The following is a 9,382-nucleotide window of genomic DNA, read 5'->3' as shown; positions in this document are numbered from 1 at the left end:
CCTCAAGTGATCTACCTGCCTCAGTCTCCCAAAGAGCTGGGATTGCAGGTGTGAGCCACCACGCCGGCCTCTTTGAACATTTCTTAAATCAATTTTATGACCGAGGACCTGGGTCATAAGGTCAAAAGGCATAAATTAACTCCTTTTGTTTTCCTGTGTATGTTTTCTATGAGTTCCCTTTCCCTGGATCACCCTTTCTCTAGTTCATGAATCCAGTGGGAAAGGTGATTGTGAAAGGGACGAGAAAAATGCCACTTCAAACTACGCCACTTTTGCATACTATTTTGAGATGAAAACAATTGAGAAACAGCAGCTGCAAGAAAGGATCTATGCCCTTTCCCTTTCTGCTTAAAAGAAGGGCATATTTCCCATGAGAAAGTTGCCCTTCTGATACCAAGAAGAAGAGAACACTCTTATCAGAGACAGGACTTGGGGAGGAGATGGTGCAGAGATAAGTCTGCACAAACAAACCTTACTGAAATAACCCTTATCTTCCATTAGTTTCTCTCATATATTTTCTAGTCACTTTCCCACAAATTACTGCCCCTAGGACCTTTTTGGACACCCTTCCTTTGTCCTATCATTTCTCCACAAATTTTTTGCCCTTTGTTAAAATGGTATATAACCCCTGAGTCTAACTGCTTGTTTGGGGTTTTCGCTTCTTTCCTATGAAGCCCCTCATGCCACATAAAAATATTTACATCAAATAAAATTTGTATGCTTTTCTCCTGTTAATATGTCTTTTGTCTGCTTGATTCACAGGCTCAGCTACAGAATCTAGGAGATTAGAGAAAGGTTTTTCCTCTCCTACAAGTGTAAATGGGAGGAAAGGAATAGGGGATTCTTCCCTCACTGTTGTTGTTGTTGTTTGGTGCAACACAAATATTACTGAATTTCTATGAGTTAAATGAGGTTTTGTTGCAACTTAAATGTAGGTTCAAAACCATGTTATAGAACTCAAGAAATTAGAGATATTAGCCTTAGAATTATATATTCACAGAAGACCCCAGAGCTATCTTAAAATATTTAAAGGACTACCCATTGACAGAGGAATTAGAACAGAGATGGCCATTTCAACAACTAGTCATGGCTGTCTGGAGCTCTGAATTAAAAAGAATGTGAAGCAGTATCCAAGCTCAGTGGAAAAAATTCTGCTTGACAATGATGTCTGTCAAAGCTTGAAAGAAAGCCAGTACCCATGTGTTGAGAACAGAATGGCTATAGCTGACAAATACTAAGCATTTGAAAGAGGAGTTTATGTGGGGTTTGGAATGCCATTTTCTCTCATGCACACTAAGTCAAGAAAGTTTAAAGGGGAGAGAGAAAGAGAGAGAGAGGGAGAAGAATAGAACGATTCTTCAGAAATGAGAGCACTTACAATTATAAACAGCATTCTCTTTCATTCCTGGTAAGTTTCCACTTCCTTTTGCATTTTCTCATAAAGAAATCCATGTATCCTTACAGTAAATTTTCTTGTTTAGCTTTAGCTAGTCATCTAGATTTCTGGTTTTTGCAGCCAAACAACCCCTAAGAGATCTATGTCTTAGTGGGGCCAATTTCAATCCCATTTAATTCAATTCAACCGATGTTTATTGAATACCTATTGTGTCTCTTATACCCAATAATTGGGGTTGAGTCTTGAATCTGGCCTATGACTGGAATCTATGAAAGATTCAAAGGGAAAAATAGGCATAGGTTATGATGAGCTATAAAAAAAGAAACGAGACAGAACATAATGTAGAGTTCTTAGCTCTCCCCACCCAGATTTATGTTCTGAGTTTTCTTTAACATTCTGTCCAATCGAGTGCGAGTGGGCTGAGACGTGGGTGGCAGAGCTGAGACACGGCCCCTCTAACTGTCTCATGTACAAACTTGAGGGGTAAGAGGAAGTTTGACACAGGAAATAACAGCCAGCAGCCGGGCTCTCTGACGAACACTACCCAGTGAAGCCTTTTAATTAGGCAAGATCATTTTTGTTAAATCTGCTCAGAAAATACTGCCTTAATCTCTGAAGATAATAAACCTCATTTAAAGTCCTGAGTTGACTCACTGTCCATAATGACTGAGATACAAATAGAGCTTTTATCCTGCAAAAACCATTACCAGGACACAGCCAATTAAGAAATTAACCAAAATCTCCATCCCCAGTTAGAGTGCTTACCTCTAGGAAAAGCCTGAGGGGAATTATAAAGACACAGTTTCTATGTGTGTTCTAATGCCAAGGTCCAAAGCAAAGGAAACCCAAACCAAATCAAAAATTGAGAAGGAAACTGTTTTAATTGATCATGAGCCGCCAAACTTCCTCTTCTGCATTATCTGTGTTTAAGTAATCCAATTAGTTTGACCTCATATGAGCAAGAGAACCCAAGTGCACATCTTTTGAAGTGGTTGTTTGGGGGTATCCTGAAAATTCTTAATATCAATCCCAGGAACATCTAAATGGTATTTTCCCCTGCACTCCTACCAGCATAGTGGAAATATCAATACCACAGGTGGGGTGCGGGAGGAGGATATTTGCTTTTTGCTATTCACTATCACGTATACACACACACGTACTTTTACCCACATTATGGAATTACTAAAAACAATGTGTGGCTCAGACTAACCATTCCACGTTGCAAATAATATCAAAATGGCTCCAAGTAGCAAAGAGAGCCAAGCGTGAGTGTCATGTATGAGCTGATGCTGCTGGTAAAGCCTTGCTTTTCCATACATAGAATGTATCACAAGAATCTGGCCTGGAGGTGCCAAAGTAATGGATGACTCTTACTCCAGCAGAGGGTCTTGGCCATTTACAGCTGAAGGAATGTGCTAGTGGCAATGCTGCCCTCTTTTGGAACAGGGTACAGAGATGGGTCTAATTACCAGCTACTTTTGTGAAAAGCAGTAATAATAAATTAAAGACGATGCAGTGATTTATCCTCACCAATGACTCCTCTATCTTTTCATCAAGACAGTAGTGGTCCAGAGTCTCTAGTGGTTTTCTTTAAGTGTTGGAATAGAGAGTGACTAAAAGTATACATGAATAGCCCTCAGGAATAACTCGTCTGAAAGGCGAGTTATTCTCTTTTTTGCTCTTCGCATCTATAGCTTAGCATGCAGCCATTGATTACATACTTACTGCCAGGAATTGGTGAAAGAGTGCAAATAGAGGGCCATATTCTAAATGTCTAAATAGTTAAAGGTTATAAAGCAAGCTAACAAACTGCTAAAGAAAACAGATTCTATCCTTCTGCCTCGACAAATTTACCTAAGTGACCTGGGGGCCTGGGTTAAATTTAGAATTTTTGGATTCCTTGGAATTTTGTACCAGAACATTCTACTTGTACTCTACTACCTCTCTCCTTCCATTTCTGATATTGTGCCACACAGAGAGGGGTCCTCCATTCATGCATGTGGACACTGATCCACATGTTCACGCTCTATCCAATGCTTCCCTCCCCAGATAGCCACTCCTCAGTCTTCCCTCAGGCTTACAGGTCTGCACACTTCTGTGGCTATCCACCTTTGGAGGAACAGCCAAGGGAAGGCCTTGTGCAAGCCCTGAAACCAGGTTTAGGGCCATTTGGACATAGAATTCCAGAGTTCCAAGGACCTGGAATAGGCTCCCTGGGAAGGAAGAGAGCAAAGTTTGTGTTATCAAGCAAGTTACTAGTTGGACAACTGGAGCTTAATCCCACTGGGGAGCTCTAAGAGGCTATGGAGACCTAACCACAGAGTTACCCCAATCAAGGGCCAAGGGAACTGGGGTATCTCTACAGGACTCCCCCAGTCATTGGTTGGGGGTGATTCCCAGAAAGAGTTAATTCCTTGGCACTTCTGGCCTGCTCTATGCATGGACAGAGTCGGCTCTGATGGCCAAAGAAAGCTTTTAAGTGGAGTCACAGATGTTGCCAGTTGGAAATCTGGCTGAGTGCAAGAAAACAGTACTAAGGGAATACGGACCAGCATCGGCATCATCTGCCTCTTGCATGCTCAGATCCACTCATGCTCCACATTAAATTGACCCTATACTGTCACAAATTCTTCATGGTGGTGTTAGAAATAATAATAATAATGAGGATTCGTGAGTTACTGAGACCAGTTACAGTCTCCAGTGTTGCAATTGGCCCCCAAGGCTGTAACTGGCATTCTTTGTTTCTTCCTCCATCACCCAGATTCACTCTCGTCTTCAGCCATACTGTGGCTGGTCTAGGATGCCTGCCTGGTAGAGTAATCCAGACCATCATTGAGAAGGCCAAGGCTTTGGTTACCAATTCTTGTTGCTGCAATCACTCATTTATGATTATCAGCAGGTATGGGAAGCGCCATGAAGTATTCGCAGGGAATTCCTGAATTTCGGATATTTTCCTCCCTGCCCTCATTTTGCAGGAGCAACTTTATCTCCTAATAATAATCAAGGTTAATTGCATCTTCCAGTACAAATACTTTTTCCTTTGCCTGCCTATCTACTGGCCAGAGGATCCCAAAATGACCAGTCAGATGCAGACGTAGTGGAAACTGACATGTCCTCTGTGTTAAGAACCTCAAGAACCAGAACCTCTAAGTGAAGTAAAGGCAGAAGTTGCTGGGACAGTAAACGTAAGTGAGTTACTGGGAGTGATGGTGAGTAAGGCAACTTCTACTTCCCTCCCCTTGACCTTGGATCCCAGATTCATGTATTCTACACATCCGTGACAGCACCATATATGGCTGATGACTGAAAGTATATAACACCTCTTATCCCCACCCTCATCTGACCACCCCAGGAGAAAAAAGCACAGAAGTAACACAAGGTGATCTTCAGCTTTATTAAAAGGGTCCTTAGTTGCCAATAACAAAAACACCTCTAATTCAAGCAAGAACAAAAAATAACTAAAGAATATTAGGTGGGAATCTTTGGTAGGGCAAGAAAGTTAGGCTCAGAAATGGCACGGTCAGAGAAAATACCCAATCCACACCATGGACTCTCTGACCAGATGCAAATGCTAGGCCTTATATAGCTGACACAGAACCAGCACCACTGCTGTCCCCACATCAAATGCCTCTGCTGCCACTCCCATCAGAAAATGGATTCTGCAAGGCTCTTCATGCTGCTTATCTGAATTGAAGTCTTGTACAATATATCAGATCAGCAGAGCCTGGGGCACATGCTTAGGCCCTTCCTGCAAGAGATGCTGGGAAAACAAGCTATTGCCTTTACTCATGGGAACCAGGAGTCACAAAATGGGACATTCTCCACCTGAGGAATGTTGTTGAAAAGATTCCCATCAGCCACAAACATGCAAATGCCCATTATATCACTCAGAGGGTTTATTTCCCAGACCTAAAATCCAACCAATTAAAACCCTAGTTTGGCAAAAGACTGCCAACCCTCTCCAAGGAACAATTCTCACCTTCTTCTTCTTCTTCTTAGAAGTGTAACTCCCTCCAAGTTGAACCAGGCACATGACCACCAGTTAGAGACTACATTTCCCAGCCTCCTCAGCAGGCATTGTATGTGACTACTTTCTCACCAATGGCATGTAAGAAAAAATGTATTGTAGCTCCTGGGTCTTTTTCTTAAAGATGAAAGTTTCTTAGCCTATACTTCCACGTTTCTTCTTCGTGCTGGCTTAGAAATGGCAACAATTGGACCAGCTGCCTTGGGCCTAGATATGGATGCATACATTGACCATAGCAGAACCAACCCACAAACCTGGTTCCTGGATGAACTCACAGACCAATGGTGCCTTTCTAGCCCAATTAGAGAATCTTTGGACTTTTACAGTAAACAGAAATAACTTTTCTATTATTTAAGTTGATTTATTTTTACAGTAGCTTAGCCTTCACACTCAGTAATGTGCTTCATCATTCAAGAGACAGCAGGAATGTCTTTGTGGCTTTTGAGAATCCTGAAGTGCTGGAGGTAGGCTCAGAGGCCACCGGTATTCTGGTTGCCTTCTCAAATAATGCATAACCAATAGGAACCCTGTGGTAAGCCTCAGTGACATAAATCTCCAGGTCTGGCAGGGCGCAGTGGCTCATGCCTGTAATCCCAGCACTTTGGGAGGCCAAAGGGGGCAGATCACCTGAAGTCAGGAGTTTGAGACCAGCCTGGCCAACATGGTGAAACCCCGTCGCTACTAAAAATACAAAAATTAGCCGGGGATAGTAGCGCACGTCTGTAATCCCAGCTACTTGGGAGGTTGAGGCACGAGAATCGCTTGAACCCGGAAGGCAGAGGTTGCAGTGAGCCCAGATCGGTCACTGCGCTCCAGCCTGTGCAACAAAGTGAGATTCTGTCTCAAAAAAAAAAAAATCTCCAGGTCAATGCAATGGAATATTGTAGGCATTTAATAAATGCTAGCAAGTCTTCTAACCCTTCTTTCTCAGGAACCATAGCAGCTGAATGTCCTGAAGGAATATTATTGGGCTTTGGGATGTTTCAAAAACTCTCACAGAGAAGATGGTCCAATTGTCATCAGAGCTAGGTTCCAGCTTAAATTTACTCAGGTAAGAACTGAGCAAAAAGGAAGGAACTTGATTTGAGTCTGAACCTACGTATTCTCAAAACATCTAACTTGTTTAGGTGGAATGCTTGAAAAGATGGGGTACCTGGTTTCCATTTGAAACCTTTTAGAAAAGAGGCCTAGTATAATACTTGAATGGATACTAACCAAGAAAACTGCTGGGTTTTTCATCCATGGCGACTGGGGGGAAGGAGAACATCTTGCTTAGATAAATAAGACTAGTGGCAAAAGGAGGTTCTTCAGCATCACAGGGAGCACATGATGCTGAATGAATGGGGAAATGAGGAGGATCATGGTTTAGGAGAACAAAGGAACCATCAAAGGACAGAAGATGAGACTTCTAGCAGTGACTATACCATAATATCTGTGAATCTGTCCAAGACCTCCGTTAGGTTGAACATCCATTCATCCATTTATTTATTAGTTTACAATGTTTATTGAGCACCAACCACATGTCAGAAACTGGGCAAGGCGTTGAGGACACAGCTGTGCATTAAACAATATAAGGGAAGAAAATTAAAATAAGGACAGGAGATGGTAAGTGACAGAGGATGCTCTCATAGATAGGATGCTGGGGAGGCTCTCTGAGGAGGGGGAATATGAACAGACACCTGAATGAAGTGAGGAGGGGAGCCCTGTGGGTGTATATCTGGGAGTTCCAGGCAGAGGGAGTGTAAAGGACAAAGGATCTGAGAAGCATCTTACTTAGCAAATTTAAGGAACAGAAAGGAAGCCAGGGGCTGAGCATGGTGGCTCATACCTGTAATCCCAGTGCTTTGGGAGGCTGAGACAGGCGGATCACAAGAGTTTGAGACCAGCCTAGGCAACGTGGCAACAAGCCAGGTGCATTGGCGTGCTCCTGTACTTTCAGCTACTCGGGAAGCTGAGGTGGGAGGATCACTTGAGCCCAGGGATTTTGAGACTGCAGTGAGCCAAGATTGCGCCACTGCACTCCACCCTGGGTGACAGAGTGAGACCATGTCTCAAACAAACAAACAAACAAATAAATAAATAAATAAATAAATAAACTGGAAAAGGAAGCCAGTATGGCCAGAGCATAGCAAGGTAGGAGAAAAGTTGTTGGAAATGCAGGTAGAGGGGGGCCTGGGGCTAGATGATACAGACCTTACAGGTGATAGGAAAGGACCCAGCTTCAATCTTCACAGAACATTCCTTGGCCACTGAGCACAGGGGTTAGGTCTCACTCACCTCAAATGCCCTGTAGTGCCTAGCACTGTGATTTTTTTTTTTTTTTTTTTTTTTAGACGGAGTTTCGCTCTGTCGCCCAGGCTGGAGTGCAGTGGCGCCATCTCAGCTCACTGCAAGCACCGCCTCCCGGGTTCACACCATTCTCCTGCCTCTGCCTCCCGAGTAGCTGGGACTACAGGCGCCGGCCACCATGCCTGGCTAACTTTTTGTATTTTTAGTAGAGACGGGGTTTCACCGTGTTAGCCAGGATGGTCTCCATCTACTGACCTCGTGATCTGCCCGCCTCGGCCTCCCAAAGTGCTGGGATTACAGGCGTGAGCCACCACGCCCGGCCAGCACCGTGATTTAATACTGTAGATACTGTGCAAAGAAACTGAAATAAACTTCAGGTAAACTCTGGAATAAACTGTAAACAGGCACATTAGGGATACCCAGCCACAAAATAAATACTTATATAATGTTTAGTTGGAGGTTTTGGCAATTCTCTGCACAAATAATCTTGTCTTTGGCAACCAATCAGTTACACTTGCTATAATAAAAGAGTAATCATTTTTATTTCAATATAACTGCTGATCTTAGAACTTAGAACTTAGAACTGGTGGAACTTAGAGGGCATCTGCTCAAAATAATATGGCTGAAGTGTCATAACACCTGGAGCAGCCATGGCAAGAGTCTATTTTGGTCATCATTTTGGCACTCGATAGAAGCATTTTTTGGACAATCCACTTCTATATTTTAGGAAAACCGAGTTGTAAGAAATTACCCAGGAAACACAAAGGAATGCTGCCTGCCAAAAAGACTCTACCTTCCACTAGTCTACAAGTGGTAGAAACATTTTTCACAGACAGATTCTCTAAGGAAAATTATGAAATGGGATTGCTTAGCCTAGAAATTTTCTTCAGTGTATATTAATGTATTGTTTCTGTTAAAACTTCTCCCTTTCCTTTTTTAAAGGAAGATGCTTAAATGAGGGGATTTGCTTTTTATCCTGGGGCAAGAGTGGCCTTTGACTCAAGGTTAGATAAAGATAACTCTATAAAAAAACATTGAGGGCTCTGTGATGGCAACAGGAAAAGCCCAAGAAAAGAGAGAACCTTGCTGAAGGATCCATCCTGGAGGGGGAAGGGCGGGCTCTGATGGGGGAGGAGGGAGGAAGGCAAAGAGTGAAGAAGATGAAGGAGACCTGGAAGTGACTATTATTTCAAGAGATGGCCCTGATAAGCTTATTGTGGAGCATGGAGCTTGGTCAGTGACCTTTAACTGGACTCGGGTTACATTAGCTGTCACTACTCAGTCATCACAAAGATAGTCCTGTCCTTTTGAAAGACACGTACAAGGTATAGTTCAACTGAAACTATGTCTGTAATAGCATTAGGATGTTCACCTCTTCTGTATAACATCCATATAGGTATCTAAGGCAACTCTGCCTTCTAATCACCTACCAGTTGCTATGCCAAGTGGGGTACTGAGGTTCCCAATCTTAGCATAATAGTGGTGGATGCTCAATTATAGAGCTAAGGACTGTTGCAGGCTGTGGGGAGGCAATACGAAGAGGACAGGGAAAGGATATGTATGGGATGGGTTTTATTTCACTGAGACAATTTCTTAGAGATTATACTATCTTTATGTAAGTTTTTATAGTAGTTTACAAATAGTATTTTTTTACAAATAGTTCTATTTTT

This window comes from Homo sapiens, chromosome 6 (genome assembly GCF_000001405.40).
Source record: "Homo sapiens chromosome 6, GRCh38.p14 Primary Assembly".
In the NCBI taxonomy this organism is placed as follows: Eukaryota; Metazoa; Chordata; class Mammalia; order Primates; family Hominidae; genus Homo; species Homo sapiens.
The sequence above is the reverse complement of the archived record's forward strand: the minus strand, read 5'-3'. Positions refer to the sequence as shown.